The sequence below is a fragment of the Homo sapiens genome, chromosome 8 (genome assembly GCF_000001405.40).
Source record: "Homo sapiens chromosome 8, GRCh38.p14 Primary Assembly".
NCBI lineage: Eukaryota > Metazoa > Chordata > Mammalia > Primates > Hominidae > Homo > Homo sapiens.
This window is the reverse complement of record NC_000008.11, coordinates 79,906,631-79,923,444: the sequence shown is the minus strand read 5'-3', so window position 1 is coordinate 79,923,444 and position 16,814 is coordinate 79,906,631. Positions and strand designations below refer to the sequence as shown.

Genomic DNA, 16,814 nt, shown 5'->3' with positions numbered 1-16,814 from the left:
GAGTTGAATAGCAGCAATATGGCTTATATTTTACTTCATAGGAAAGACATTATAAGACTCTATGGAGTGATAAATTCTTACCACTCCTAAAGGGATTATGTTTACTGTTCTTTCAAGAGGTCATAGGTAATTGAAAACTTAAGGAGGAGCAGAAGAATCTGTGAATCCTCTTACACCACTGTGTGGCATTAGGCCAGTAGCTTTACTTCCGTGTACCATAATTTTTCTATCTGTAACATGGAGGATATCTCTAGTTTTTTAAAACAAAGACACAAAATATTACCTATGATGTCAAATACACATATATACATATATGCATATAAACATATAGAAGGACTAGAAAATGTGACTGACTTCATCATTTTCCAGATTTTACAAAAGGACATTTATTTCTAAAATCAGAAAAAGTAACTTCTCAAAAAAAAGCTGAATAGCCTAAATGTTTACTTGATGGACCATACGTAAATTTCTTCAGAACACCCAAATATTATGTGGAGACTAATCATATGTAGTCTACCAAAATTATTTTCCAGTGACTTTTTTGAGAACTTTGTTTCTTCATTTTCTGTTTATATAAAGTTATTTTAATTTTAAAATTAAATTAGAATATATAAAGTATATATTTAGACTGTTAAAGATTTGTGATTTTTAACCAGCAGTACTTCCACTCTTGCTATTCTATAATGTTGATGTTTAACTTTTAAAATAATTGATTGAGGAAGAAAGGCAAATGGGTATCAGTTTTCATTTGGTATTATAAAATACTTGAATATTTTATTGACTAAATTGAGTCATCATATGTTATGGCTGGCATTACATTTTCATTCATAATTTATTTTTTAACTAATAAAAATTGTACATATTTATTGGGTATAACATGCTATTTTGAGGTATGTATACATTGTGGGATAGCCAAATCGAGCTAATTTACAAATGCATTACCTCATGTACTTAATCATTTTTGATGATGAGAACACAAAATATACTCACTTAGCAATTTCCAGGTCTACAACATATTATTGTCATCATCATGATGTACAGTAGATCTCTTGAACTTACTCCTCCTATCTAACTGAAATTTTGTATCCTTTGACTAACATCCTTTGACCTGGTAACCACAGGAGCTGTAGTTCTCTCTACTTCAAGGTGTTCAACTTTTTTAGATTTCACATATAAGTGAGAGATCATGTGGGGTTTGTCATGCTGTGCCTGGTTTATAAAGTCCTCCAGGTTCATCCAACTGGCATTACATTTTAATAACAATGCAACCAATCCCAAATACTGAGTACTTTACACTTAGACATTTTTCCATTTTGCTTTCGTAAAATTTTACTTTAAAATAAAGTTTTAGCAAATCAATAAACGTAATCCAGCATATAAACAGAACCAACGACAAAAACCACGATTATCTCAATAGATGCAGAAAAGGTCTTTGACAAAATTCAACAACTCTTCATGCTAAAAACTCTCAATAAATTAGGTATTGATGGGACGTATCTCAAAATAATAAGAGCTGTCTATGACAAACCCACAGCCAATATCATACTGAATGGGCAAAAACTGGAAGCATTCCCTTTGAAAAGTGGCACAAGACAGGGATGCCCTCTCTCACCACTCCTTTTCAACATAGTGTTGGAAGTTCTGGCCAGGGCAATCAGGCAGGAGAAGGAAATAAAGGGTATTCAATTAGGAAAAGAGGAAGTCAAATTGTCCCTGTTTGCAGATGACATGATTGTATATCTAGAAAACCCCATTGTCTCAGCCCAAAATCTCCTTAAGCTGATAAGAAACTTCAGCAAAGTCTCAGGATACAAAATCAATGTGCAAAAATCACAAGCATTCTTATACACCAATAACAGAGAGCCAAATCATGAGTGAACTCCCATTCACAATTGCTTCAAAGAGAATAAAATACCTAGGAATCCAACTTACAAGGGATGCGAAGGACCTCTTCAAGGAGAACTACAAACCACTGCTCAATGAAATAAAAGAGGATACAAACAAATGGAAGAACATTCCATGCTCATGGGTAGGAAGAATCAATATGGTGAAAATGGCCATACTGCCCAAGGTAATTTATAGATTCAATGCCATCCCCATCAAGCTACCAATGACTTTCTTCACAGAATTGGAAAAAACTATTTTAAAGTTCATATGGAACCAAAAAAGAGCCCACATCGCCAAGTCAATCCTAAGCCAAAAGAACAAAGCTGGAGGCATCACACTACCTGACTTCAAACTGTACTACAAGGCTACAGTAACCAAAACAGCATGGTACTGGTACCAAAACAGAGATATAGACCAATGGAACAGAATGGAGCCCTCAGAAATAATGCCTCATATCTACAACTATCTGATCTTTGACAAACCTGACAAAAACAAGCAATGGGGAAAGGATTCCCTCTTTAATAAATGGTGCTGGGAAAACTGGCTAGCCATATGTAGAAAGCTGAAACTGGATCCCTTTCTTAACACCTTATACAAAAATTAATTCAAGATGGATTAAAGACTTAAATGTTAGACCTAAAACCATAAAAACCCTAGAAGAAAACCTAGGCAATACTATTCAGGACATAGGCATGCGCAAGGACTTCATGTCTAAAACACCAAAAGCAATGGCAACAAAAGCCAAAATTGACAAATGGGATCTAATTAAACTAAAGCGCTTCTGCACAGCAAAAGAAACTACCATCAGAGTGAAGAGGTAACCTACAGAATGGGAGAAAATTTTTGCAATCTACTCCTCTGACAAAGGGCTAATATCCAGAATCTACAATGAACTCAAGCAAATTTACAAGAAAAAAACAACCCCATCAAAAAGTGGATGAAGGATATGAACAGATACTTCTCAAAAGAAGACATTTATGCAACCAAAAGACACATGAAAAAATGTTCACCATCACTGGCCATCAGAGAAATGCAAATCAAAACCACAATGGGATAACCATCTCACACCAGTTAGAATGGTGATCATTAAAAAGTCAGGAAACAACAGGTGCTGGAGAGGATGTGGAGAAATAGGAACACTTTTACACTGTTGGTGGGACTGTAAACTAGTTCAACCATTGTGGAAGACAGTGTGGCAATTCCTCAAGGATCTAGAACTAGAAATACCATTTGACCCAGCCATCTCATTACTGGGTATATACCCAAAGGATTATAAAACATGCTGCTATAAAGACACATGCACATGTATGTTTATTGCGGTACCATTCGCAATAGCAAAGACTTGGAACCAACCCAAATGTCCAACAATGATAGACTAGATTAAGAAAATGTGGCACATATACACCATGGAATACTATGCAGCCATAAAAAACGATGAGTTCATGTCCTTTGTAGGGACATGGATGAAGCTGGAAACCATCATTCTCAGCAAACTATCGTAAGGACAAAAAACCAAACACCGCATGTTCTCACTTATAGGTGGGAACTGAACAATGAGAACACATGGACACAGGAAGGGGAACATCACACACCGGGGCCTGTTATGGGGTGGGGGGAGGGATAGCATTAGGAGATATACCTAACGTAAATGACGAGTTAATGGGTGCAGCACACCAACATGGCACATGTATACATATGTAACAAACCTGCACGTTGTGCACATGTACCCTAAAACTTAAAGTGTAATAAAAAAATAAAGTTTTAATTTTAGAAGGAAAATGTATCTGAAACTTCTTTTCCCCTTGATACTCTCTGACTTTAATTGACAAATTAAAGCAAACACCAGTTTTAAGAACTGTCTTGCTTGAATTTCCGTTTACTGTGGTTTTAAAATCTTTAAAGGCAACTTTTAAGATGAAAATTCTAGAGCTGGCAGTGACTCACACCTGTTATCCCCAAAATTTAGGAGGCCAAGGTGGGAGGGTCACTAGAGGCCAGGAGTTTGAGACCAGCCTGGCCTGGGCAACATAGAGAGACCCTGACTCTGAAATTAGCTGGCCGTGGTGGTACATGCTTGTAGTCTTAGCTGCTTGGGAGGCTGAAGCAGGAGAGTCGCTTGAGCCCAGAAGTTTGAAGTTACGGTAAGCTCTGATTGCACCACTGTACTCCCGCCTGGGTAACAGAGTGAAACTCTTTTTTTTTTTTTTCAAAACAAAAAGTTGGGTGATGGGGGCTTTTCTGATACAATCAAATTACTTTTTTGTCAAATACAGCTATTTCTAAGATACCAGTGTTAACTTCATCTTGAGCTAACACAAATTAAAATTGGAATTTGGTTGTTGTTATTAAACTAGTTGTTCATGTTATGATATTCAGAATTAATGGATTTTTTTTTTTTTAACTATTTAGGAAATACCAGAAAGGAACCAGGGTCCGGTTGCGGCTATTAGATCTTGAACTTACGTCTAGGTTCCTGGGAGCAACAACAGATACAACTGTACTAGAGGCTAATGCAGTTCTCTTGGGAATCCAGGAGAGTAAAGACTCAAGATCGAAAGAAGAACATCATGAAAAATAAATGAACTTTGCTTAGTGGATTGACTCCTTTGCTGAAGTCAGTTATTCATCAAGAATGCAATTAGACTAATTGTGAATAAATGATTGAATGAAGATATAATAAATAAAAGCTATAATTATAGATAACTCTTATTAGAATTTTCTTTAGCAATATTCCCACCCCCCACCCCTTGTTTTGCTCTTAATGTTTTTTTCCTTTGGTGGGGATAGTATACACTGTACTAAGAAATTGTCATTCAATAAATACGTTTTGAGTGCTGTCTATGTGCATGGTACTAGTTTAAACAGCAGTAAACAAATTAGACAAAATTGCCTGCCTTTTGGCCCTTACATTCCACTGGGGATAACAGGCAATAAATAAGTGAAATATATAGTATGTTAGACAGTGATACACGGCTAAGGAGAAAAAGGAAGCAAGGAATGGGGTTACAAGGTGTCTGAGTGACAGGTTGCTAGCTACATGGGTCTCTGAAGAAGAGTTTTCCAGCAGAAGGAGCAACTAGTGCAAAGCCCCTGAGACACAACTGCACCTATCCAGATTAAGGACCACGGAGGAAGCCACTGTAGGAGCACAAAAAAAGTAGGAGATGAACAGAGAGGTGAGGGAGGCTCCGTAGGTCCTAGTATGCACTTTGGCATTTATTTACTGATTGAGATGGCAGGTCATTGGAGGATTCGGAGCAGAGGAAGGATATAATCTGACATTTTAGCAGGATCCCTTTGAGTAAGTTAGCTGCGTAGACCTAAGATGAACAAGGACAGCCACAGCAAGACCTGTAAGGAGACTATCCTTGTAATCCAGGCAAGAGATGATGGCAGCTTGGACCAGGGTAGTAGCAGTGGAATTGATGAGAAGTGGTTGAAATCTGGATATATTTTGAAGATGGAGCCCGTGGGATTTCCTAACACATTGGATATGGAATATGTGAGACAGAAAGGAGTGAGGATGACAACAAGGTTTTTGGCCTGCACAACTGGAAGACTTTCATTGCCTTTAACTGAGGTAGGTAAGAGCAGGTTTGAGAGAACTATTCAGAACTCAATTTTGGACATGTTAAATTTGAGATGCATATTAGCCATCTAACTGGAGATGTTCTGAAGGCAGTTGGATATATGGCTCTGGAGTTCACGGGAGAGCTCTGGATGAAAGAAAGATACTTGCAAATCATAAACATGTAATCGTACTTCACAAATGATGTAGGTCAAGAAATAGGCGGGGTTCTTGACCTGGCTTGGGCAATTTCATTTCTTATGGTATCAATTGAAGTCACCTGGCTGGCTGCTCTAGTAGAGTCCAAGACAGCTTCACTCACATGTCTAGTACTTTGGCAGGGGTGCTTGAAAGGTTAGGTTCAGCTGGGACAGTCAACCAGAGCACCTACACATGGCCCGTCCAGCATGGCAGTCTTGGGGTAGATGGCTCTCATGATGCTGGCTTTCCCCAGAGGGAGCATTCGATAAGAACCAGGCCGACACTATCTGACCGAGTGCAGGAAATCACACAGCTTCACTTCTACCCAGTTGGTTATAAACAAGTTATAGGGTCTGGATTCAAAGGGAAGGAATAAGACTCCACCTCTTAGTGGAGGTGTGACAGTGTCACAGTGTAGAAGGTCAGCGAATTAATGATACTGTGGCAAAAGAGTGTGCCACACCACCCCTTCCCAGGGCCACACCCAATAGCCACCTCTGCAAAGTCTCAAATCCAAATTTTAAGCCCTCCACTCACTATCCTTCCTGCTCCCTTAATTTTGTGTACCCAATTGAGCACTTTTTCAAAAATCTTTCAGACTCCAATCCCCATTGACTCCCAATTTTTTCACTCATCATCATGTTCTCACTATCCTCTTCATCCAGCTTTAGAGTCTGGGGCACATCACTATGATGACTCCCTTGCAAACAAAACACCGTTGAGTCTCCTCCCTCCCTCCATTTTTCACCTGGCATAACTTCAACCCTGATTAAATGTCTACCTGCTTCATTCCTGCACCTGAGCTGCTCAGCATTACAGGAGAAAACCTTACAATTACATTGATTGGTATCACTTTAAATCTGGAATTTCAGGTTAAGATGTCAGGTTAATACATACATCTAATTTTATTCCCTCCAAAGCCTCACTAAAATTACAACAAAGGGAGATGGACGGATGAATAGGAAGATAGATGATTGATTGATTGATAGAGACACATGAATACCCACAGCAAAAAAAGTCAAGTATGAGAAAAACAGGAAGAGAACAAAATTTTGCAATCTGAAAATAGATGGATGAATAGACATTTACATAGCAGAACAGAGATAGACACATTCTTAGCTGTCAGTGCAGAAAGCTGAAAACCAACCTGATTTACTGCAGAATCCTCAGAATATTCAGGAACTGGCAGAACCAGGTACTTCTAGATCTCAGAGTGAAATGGGGTTAGGGGAGGTCAGAATAAAGAGATTTGGGGTCCAGCCATGGTGGCTCACGCCTGTAATCCCAGCACTTTGGGAGGCCAAAGTGGGCGGATTACCTGAGGTCAGGAGTTCGAGACCAGCCTTGCCAACATAGTGAAACCCCATCTCTACTAAAAATACAAAAAATTAGCCAGGCCTGCTGGTGCACACCTGTAATCCCAGCTACTCAGGAGGCTGAGGCAGGAGAGTCGCTTGAACCCAGGAGGCGGAGGTTGCAGTGAGCCGAGATCATGCCATTGCACTCCAGCCGGGGCAACAAGAGCAAAACTCCATCTCAAGGAGAAAAAAAAAAATTGGGGTAAAAGGTAAAAAATAACCTAGATTCCTTTCCCCATTCCACTTAAATGATGTGGCAGCCCACTTCCACCCAAACTGGCTGTTTCTCTCCCTTTCCAGCATGATTCTGGCAATTTAGTATTTGGACTTTGCTATCTGCCTTCCTCTATAGAAACAATTGGGGGTGGGGCGGTAAAGGAGTGGGCCAAATGCACATACACAAATGCACTAAACCGGATACTTCACTGCTCTGAAGACTGGAAGCCAAGGAGAGTATTGATTAAGTAATATCTTTTTTTTTTTTTTTTTTTTTTTTTGAGATGGAGTCTCGCTCTGTCACCCAGGCTGGAGTGCAGTGGCACGATCTCAGCTCAGTGCAACCTCCGCCTCCCAGGTTCAAGCAATTCTCCTGCCTCAGCCTCTTGAGTAGCTGGGACTACAGGCGCCCGCCACCACACCCAGCTAATTTTTGTATTTTTAGTGGAGACGGGGTTTCACCGTGTTAGGATGGTCTCGATCTTCTGACCTTGTGATCCACCCACCTTGGCCTCCCAAAGTGCTGGGATTACAGGTGTGAGCCACTGCACCTGGCCTGATTAAGTAATATCTTAAGAACAGTGGTCAGGAAAGAAGACAGAGTCTATACCTTCTGATGTTTCAGATCTGCAACAAGACCCTATATTCCTATTTTCAAAGTCTCACCACCAGAAAATTCTTCCTCGTCTCTTATGACACCAATCTAAAGGCTTCTTTTTAATCTAAAGTTCCCAGGTGTACTGGGTTGAATAATTCCCCCACCCCGCAACCTTCTCCCATATTCATGTCCATCTGGAACCTGTGAATGTGACCTTATTTGGAATAGGGCCTTTGCAGATATAGTCAAGATGAGGTCATGCTGGATTGAAGTGGGTCATACTGAATGCAGTATGACTGGTGTCCTTAGAAGAGGAGGTAAGCTTGGACACCGACACACAGGGAGAGTGCCATGTGGCTTGCTAGGGAGAGATGGTAAGTTCTGCTGCCACAAGCTAAGGATTGCCAGCAGCCACCAGAAGCTAAGAGAGCTGCATGGAACAGGTTCTCCCTCTGAATACTTTAAGAAGCAATCAGTACACCAACACCTTGATTGCAGACTGCCGGCCTCTTGAACTGTGAGAATAAGACTTTTTGTTGTTTTAAGCCATCCAATATGTAATATGTTAGGAAAGCCCTAGAAAACTAATTACACCAGGCATCTCTAAGACATACGATGTCTAGTCAGGGATTGATTTCCCAGCCTGACTCAGAGAGCAGCTATCCATCTCTCCCAATGCCTTGACTCCGTGATTGCCATTTGCAGCCCATATTATATCTCCAGTTTCCTGTGCTCCATTCTTTCTTGGTTTACTTTTATATTTGGTCCAGCATTGCCCTCTTTTACAGCCTGAATGAAAACATCAGTGGGTCCTCCAGCTATATTCAATCTAGTGAAACCAGCTCCCCAAACCCCAGTTATCTAGTTCAAGTCAGCCAGGTTGAGATAGCCTAGAGAACCAGTTTTCAGGGAGCAATCTTCATTCTTTTAATATTATTAAAGTAGGGCAACTATTTGAATCAAGCCAATACCTTTTTTCTAAGTCAACATGCCAAACAAACAAAACTTATAGTGTTTCTGTGTCAGCTCAGGCCCTCCAGGAAACAGACACCAAGACAGAACTAGACGTGCAATTCTGGGAGAAATGCCAGTGAAGGATAAAGAGGAGAGGGAGCAGGAGTAGACGGGAGAGCCTCAAGCTGTGAAGACGATCTGACACCTGTAAAGGGAGGTTGGGTAGGAAGAGTGTCCGGACTGCAATGCAGCTCTGTGAAATTCTCAGCCAGGTTAATGGGGAGTGTCAGAGCAAAGATTGCCCATTAGAAGAGTTCCATAGTAGGCAAGAATGGCCCATCTCTCCTACTCCCACCGAGCTCAGTCATTGGAGAGACCCAGGGAGTGTCACCTCAGCATGACACTGCTGGATTCTGAAGGTTCAGCAGCTGCAGGCTGTCTGCACACTACAATCCTTGAATCAGGCTCTCTCTCTCTTTTTATTTATTTATTTTTTTTTTGAGACGGCATCTCAATCTGTTGCCCAGGCTAGAGTGCAGTGGCGCTATCTCGGCTCACTGCAACCTCCGCCCCCAGGGTTCAAGCGATTCTCCTGCCTCAGCCTCTTGAGTAGCTGGGATTACAGGCGCCCACAACCACACCTGGCTAATTTTTTGTATTTTTAATAGAAACAGGGTTTCACCATGTTGGCCAGACTGGTATCAAGCTCCCCACCTCAGGTGATCACCTGCCTCGGCCTCCCAAAGTGCTGGGATTACAGGAATCAGGATCTCTTAAAAGGAGATCTAAGAGTGTATTCCTAGGGTTACTGCAATTTTCAAACATACAAGTACTGGCATATGAAGACTACTGCCATTCTGATTTGTCTCTTGGTTTTCTGAACAAGAATATAAGCTTGAAATAAGTGGATTTTCTTCCGTCATAACAGGTTTATCATGTCTTTGTAGGAGCCTAATTTTCTTTGAAATATAGACGTCATAAGAGTTTTTTAGCCCTTCCTAATTTCATTTTTATTCGGCATAAGATTTCATTATTAAATATGGTCAACCCTTTACCCATTATGGTGGAGAAGTACAGTGGTGTAGATTATCCTAATTATTTGTGGTTAACTTTAGAATATATTTTTTCTATGAAGCAATTTTTTTGTGATAAAATATACCACATAGGATAACATAAAATTGATAAGACTATAGGTGGCTAAAAAGAAGAAAAAATAAAATGTACCATTTTAGCCATATTTTAAGTGTACAATTCAGGGACTTGAAGTACATTCACATTATGCAAACATCATCACTATCCATCACCAGAACTTTTCAATCATCCCAAACTGAAACTCTGTATCCATTAGACAAGAACTCTTCATTTCTTCCCAGCCCCTAGTAACCACTATACTACTTTGTGTCTCTATGAATTTGACTATTCTAAGTACCCCATGTAAGTGGACTCATACATTATTTGTTCCTTTGTGTCTGGTTTATTCCATTTAGCATAATGTTTTCAAGATTCACATGGTGGTAGCATGTATCAGAATTTTATTCCTTTTTAAAGGTGAATAATATTTCATTGTGTGTATAATCATTTGTTTATTCATCTAGAACATTGGGTTGTTTCCATCTTTTGCTATTATGTATAATGCCACTGCAAACACTAGTGTACTACAATATACTTTTGAACTTACAATTGAACGCATCTATCTTGCTTGAGGCATGCAAAAAAATTTTTTAATCCCATAATAAATAATGGGCTAATTCTGAATATGCTGGTTAATTGTCCAGCATCCTCATTCTTCCTTCCCTGTACTCCTTCCAGGTGCTTGATGAAATATACAACCACCCTCAGTGCCTGCCAAACAGGACTGGCCTCTCTATACTTACTGATTTAGCCCTTACCCATGCAAATATTCTATTTCCATGGTGCTCCAAAAACTAGAGATTTTAGAAATCCTTTTGGCCAGGAACTTAAAATATTTTTAGGCATAGAAACCCTTCTTCACATAAAATTTATATAGTGTCATAGGTTGAATAATTGAACTCAGTTCTTTCCTCAAACGTAGTGATATTGTATATCCATATTCTCCACATGATCTCATGATGGCAAAATACTTTCCTGCGCCTTGACTTCGGCCTTGGCCATATGACTTGCTTTGGTCAATAGGATTTTAGTGTCTGTGATGTGAACAGAGAAGATGCTTTTGAGTGTGGCCTTGCTTTCTGGCATAGACCCTCAGACTAGAATAAACCAAATGGACTCAGCCTGAAGCAGAGCCACCCTCAGATCTGTACACCACAGGGTGCAATAAGTGCTTATTGTTGTAAGGTGCTGACATTTTTGTGGTTGTTTGTTAAGCAGCAATAGCTGACCAATACAGAAATTAATACCTAGAAGTGGCATTGGTTCTGGGATTGGGTGGTTCCAGTGTTCAATTGAAATTGTTCCAACGTTCTCTTAACAAAAGAGCAAGAAGTATCATGGAACAGGAAGGGCCTCTGAGAAAATAGAACCAAGAGCAATGGAGAAAAATGGACTTGAGAGCTATACTCGTGGAGCAGAATGGGGATCTAGTAAGGAACATCCTTGCCTTAGGGTAGAGGGACCTCACTATGTTCATAAGAGGGACTCCCGCAACACTTACCTAATGGGATTTCAGAATTGTTAGGCCAATGATTGTGATGTGCCTCCAGTCTTTTTTTTCCTTTTTTTTTTTTGAGACAGGGTCTCACTCTGTTGCCCAGGCTGAAGTGCAGTGGCACAATCTCAGCTTACTGCAACCTCTGCCTCCCAGGTTCAAGTGATTCTCATGCCTCAGCCTCCTGAGTAGCTGGGACTACAAGTACACACCATCATGCCCGGCTAATTTTTGTTGTTGTTGTTTGTTTGTTTTTGTAGAACTAGGGTTTTGCCATGTTGCCAGGCTGGTTGCAAACTCCTGAACTCAAGCAATCTGCCCCTGCTCAGCCTCCCAAAGCATTAAGATTACACCCAGCCCAGTATTTACTTTTTCAAATGGGAGTATTTATTGTAGTTATCCTGTCCCTGTTCCACCATTGTACATTAGATGTACTAATTGTCTACTGCTAATTAATTATCTATTGCTAAGTAACATCCCCAAAGTTTAGTCACTTAAAACAACAGAACACATATTTATTATCTCATAGTTTCTGTGGGTCAGAATTCCAGGCACAGCTGAACTGGATTCTCTGATTCAGGGTCTGTCATAGGCTTTGTTCAAGTTGTCAGCCAGGGCTTGGGGTTCATCTGAAGGTTTGACTGGGGAAGGATCCACTCCCAGGCTCACTTACATAATTGCCAGGATTCAGTTCCTTGATCAGGATTCAGTTCCTTGATGACTGTTAGACTGAGGCTTCAATTCCTTGCTGGCTATTGGCCAGAAGTCACCTTCAGTTCCTTACCTCGTGAGCCTCCTTAGCATGGTACCTTGCATTATCAGAGCCAGCAAAAGAGACAGAGTCTGCTAGCAAGATGGAAGTCACTCTTATGTAACCTCTTCACAGAAGTGACATCCCCTCAATGCTGCCACATTCTAGAAGCAAGTTGCTCCTAGGAAGAAGATAACACAAGCCCACAAATACCAGTGGGCAGGAACCATTGGGACCATCTTAGAAGCTGCCTACCATAGGTATGTAGGAGGTAGATAATTTCTATTTAGCTTATAGGTCTTTGGATCTAAGTAGCAGCATTTGGATTTATAGATCACAAGATCATAGGATTTTGGCAGATGCCATGATTGGATGAGGCCTTGGGGTTGGCGAGAGATGTCACAAGATGGGGATGGGGGAGTTTTGCATGTGGGAGGGATATGAATAGTTGTAACCAAGAAAATGTAGGCTGGGCATAGTGACTCGTGCCTGGAATCCCAGCACTTTGGGAGGCTGAGATGGAAGCTTGCTTGAGCTCAGGAGTTCAAGACTGGCCCGGGCAACATAGAGCCTATCTCTACAAAAAGTGAAAAAAAAAAAAATTAGCCCAGCATGATAGCACATGCATAGGCTTCCAGCTTCTCAGGAGGCTGAGGCAGGAGTATTGCTTGAGCCCAGGATGTTGAGGTTAAAGTGAGCCATGATCTTACCACTGCACTCCAGACTGGGCGACAGAGCGAGACCCTGTCTCAAGAAAAAGAAAATAATTGTAATAGATTGAATTATCCATCCCAATTTTTCATCCCCTTGTAGTAATATCCTTTCTATGGTCTCATAGTAGATAGGATATAGTAACTTCGCCATTATGGTACTCAGTATTTCTATAGTTGATATAAGTTAGAGATATAAATAAGTTCAGGAAAGGTTTTGATGAATCTCTGAATGGTAAATTCAGATTTGAGTATTAAAGGAAACCAGGGAGTTTGAAATACATCCCAAAACTTCTGAGGTTGACATTAATGGAGTACTATGAAACTTTGAAACCACAGGCTGGTTAGATCATTGGGCTGACCCAGTATTGCATTTCTTATATTCATATCATTTGGTTTTTAAAAATAAATACACATTTTAGTATAAATTCCTAAGGGAAACATGTAGTTTATTTGAAAAGACTATAACTTTTTTCATGTTTCTTTTAAACTAATTACAAAGAACTCAGAGATGCTCTGAGCCAAAGGAGGAAGGAAAGGAAAATTCTACAAAAGACCGTGTCTTATTTTAAGTTCTTATACCTGCATTCTACATGTGGAAGATGGAAAACAAGATTTTGAACACAGGTTTTCAGCTTCCAGGTAAGAAATTGTATGAACCCTGAAATTGTCCTGTGAACAGATGAAATCTTTAGAAACCAAAAAGTGGCTCAGATTACTACCATTTTCTTCACAAAATTGCCGCTCTGAAAAAACAATCCAACTGTTTTACCATACTCTATAAGTCTCAAATCATTATGGTTTGGGAAAAATGCACATGAGACTGTGATAGCAATAATTACTTCAAATGAATGAATAAAAGAAAGCAAGATATTGTGTTTTTTCCAGGCAACACTTAAATGCAGAATCTTTCATTTTAGATGCAGTAAATACCACAGAAGCCAGTAGATAAAGATGATGTCCCAACTCTCAAAACCATACCAAAAGGAGTGGGAATTCCACTCAGGCAGGCAGCTGAGACAAGGATTGTGGGTAAATGCTACCATCTTTATTCGTGGGAAATAATGCTATGTCTGAGCTATGTTGCTGCATAACTGTCTTATAGATATATTTAGCAATGCCCAATATACTAGTAAATTTTTAAAATAGAGCCACAAAATGGATGACAATTTAAGGCAATCCCCTATAATTTTGTCTTAAAAAAAATCTCGTCCATTAGTCATTTCAATCTTTGTTAACACCTCTCTTTTTCCCACTCAGCCTCTGGTGTGGGTATTAACAAAATCTGAAAGGACTAATGGACCAGAAAAAGTCCTGGAAAATCTACTAAGGGCATAATATTATCAGCCTCCGTGTAATCTAATGTACATGTCACTTGATAGGTGTAGATGCAAGAACTAGAAAAACTAGAAAAGACATTATTCCACAAAGAGCAAGAAAGAGACTGATGATAAAGTTGGATCCTCTGGTAAGCCAGAGATTAAAGTCTTGCTGATATGAGGTGAATTAACGTTAACATGGCTATCTCCTAAATGATTCTCTAAGATTGCTTCGAGAGGTAGGAAGTTAGTCACAGCTGTTTGCAATGTGAACTGGATGACCACTTGAGAAGAGGCTGTAAGGTGCAGGAAGACTCTGCAAAAGTTCCATGGTTATTAAAGGGAAATGGACATAGAATTCACCTGTCACTAAGAACGCTAGATAATGAGATCAGGCTTGCTCATCCTTACAAGACCGCTGGATGTGTTTTGGCTTTGTTCCTTCCCTCCTGCCCCAAGACAGATAACAGCTTCTGCTTTCACCGGGGTGCTCCCTCAGCATATCCAGAGAGCTCCAAGTCAAGGCCCAGGAAAGTGAGGCCCAGGGAAAGCAAGGCGTTCTCTCACCCACCTCTGTAAGGGCCTGTTTGTCAAGTTTATTTTCTATTCCAGTGCCGTTTTCCTCCATATGAAAGATAGGGACTCTTCACAAAAGTGTGGCCCTTTCCTGGGGCCTGAACAGGACATGCCTGTTGGAACAAAACACTACAGTCTTCACATCTATTAAAGAAAGACAGAGACATGGGGTCATTTTCTTATACTCTGCCAACGCTATGACTCACTCATAGGGTCCTGCCTCTCTGTACCTTCCACCACAGAATCTCTGTGCAGTCAGTTTATACTTAGCATTAGTGAATGTGTCAAATCGCCACATACCTTCATGCTATTTCTACTGCTGTCACCTTCCTCCCTATCATCTCTCCATCTACATAAATTCTACACAAAATGCTTTCCCTAGAGTAGGCTAGATTCAGTGTATTAAAATAATTGTAGGAATATATGGAAAAGATAACCTACTATTTTCTCTAATGAAACTTGGTTGATAGTTATTAGAGAAAGTTTTTCAAGGAGCATTTTCTTGATCAAAGGCACTGTAAACCTCTGATTAATCAGGGAGATTTCAGTTCCTAGGGAATAGTCTACACAACCAAATGTTGCCTGTAAAACCCTAAAATGCATTACATAGTCTCCTGGCCCCAAAACATTTCCTGCTTTTTAAAATAGAGAATACTGACAGGATTTAAAGTTTTCCTTGATGACTCAGGGCCACCATTATGAAAAACAATTTTGTAATGATGTGATTTCCCAGGGATTATTAAGGTGGGTAGAGCTACTAGCTCCTACCAAGTGGTTCCAGACCATTTGTGCTCTTTGAATTGTTTAACTGGTTACCTACAACTTCCCTTACTATCAGCTGATAGTTTTTACTTATGCTAATGTACCTACTTCTAGTAATTTCCTGCTTGTCTAACAAGTTGCTCTTGATCTAATTGCGGGAGCTTTATGCCTATGTATAAAATGACAATAACTATCCTTCTTTAGTTCTTTTGTTTGCATTAAATATTTTTCCATCTCTATTCTCTAAATTGTGACCTTTATTGGTATCAGTGTGCTTTTCCGCTTCTAATTTATAAGCTTGTTTTACAGTAGTCTGGAAGAGGCTTTGAGGCCAATTTTGTAGAACTGTAGAACAATGCATGAGTTTTGGGATATCTGTTTTCTATTTCACAGCCTTTGTCCCTTATTTTCAGAAACACAGCTGTGTCTCATGTCAAAGGTTGTTAATTTTATTTCATTCTGTCATTTAAAATTAAAGGTTTTAGAAAAGAAGATAAAACTAATAAGAAAATTGATATTTTTTAAGGCAACTTTAAAGACTGTCCTGATACAATCTCCTAGACCTTAAGTATCTAAGTAAATAAGTGGGTAAATGGATATGAATTAATCAGTTACTTCTGCTTTGAAACGAATTCACGTACTTTGTAGATTAATCCCCTGGGGAGTTAATGTATACGTTCTTAATAAACTGTAGAAGTGTCAACGATGGGGAATTGAGTTTTAGTCAATTTTGTATCTTCTTTTGTGCCAGCACTGTGTTAAAAACATAGAGAATACTCATCAATATTTGTTGAATGTATTTAGTTGATTCAGTGGCTATCATTTTACAAGATCTTCTGTCAACAGAGAAAGAGAAAATGTTCTGCAAACTCTGATTCCCAAGGAAGGAAGCAGACATTTTTAGCAATGAGATTGGTACAAATAATCTCCTGCATTTCTTTCCCTTTCACTCCTCCTCTTCCACAGTCCCCTTCACCTCACCCCCTCATCTCTACCACCCCACAACCCCACAACCCCACAAAGCTTTCTGCCTAAATGATGTTTCACCACATTTTGTTTTAGAGACTTAACAGAAATAAAAAGATCAAGCTACATGAACAGATTTTGCATGTCAAGATTTCAAGTATTCATCTGAGTCTGGCTCATCTCTCCTGGTAATTTTCTAGAAAATAGCTGGTTGCTGGGCCCATGTCTCCATGTCCAGCATTTTGCTGGCCTATGGGGCAGGGATAGGGGAAGTAACTGTGTATGACTTTAAAGGATGTCTCATTATTTTATGTTAACTGGG

At 39.8% G+C, this 16,814-nt stretch overlaps 2 protein-coding genes and 1 long non-coding RNA gene across 4 annotated transcripts in view; 2 read left to right on the top strand and 1 right to left on the bottom strand.

Annotated features, from left to right (window-relative positions):
* Positions 1–4,728, top strand: part of TPD52-MRPS28 (TPD52-MRPS28 readthrough) — a 252,848-nt gene extending 248,120 nt beyond the window's left edge. The window contains exon 7 of the mRNA NM_001387778.1: positions 4,297–4,728. Coding sequence (NP_001374707.1) covers positions 4,297–4,465 — 169 coding nt within the window. The 3' untranslated portion in view covers positions 4,466–4,728. The remainder of the gene's footprint in view (positions 1–4,296) is intronic.
* MRPS28 (mitochondrial ribosomal protein S28) overlaps positions 1–4,728 on the top strand; it is a 111,543-nt gene extending 106,815 nt beyond the window's left edge. Inside the window, exon 3 of the mRNA NM_014018.3 lies at positions 4,297–4,728. Coding sequence (NP_054737.1) covers positions 4,297–4,465 — 169 coding nt within the window. The 3' untranslated portion in view covers positions 4,466–4,728. The remainder of the gene's footprint in view (positions 1–4,296) is intronic.
* LOC124901966 (uncharacterized) overlaps positions 1–16,814 on the bottom strand; it is a 39,094-nt gene that overhangs the window by 7,464 nt on the left and 14,816 nt on the right. The window lies entirely within an intron of this gene.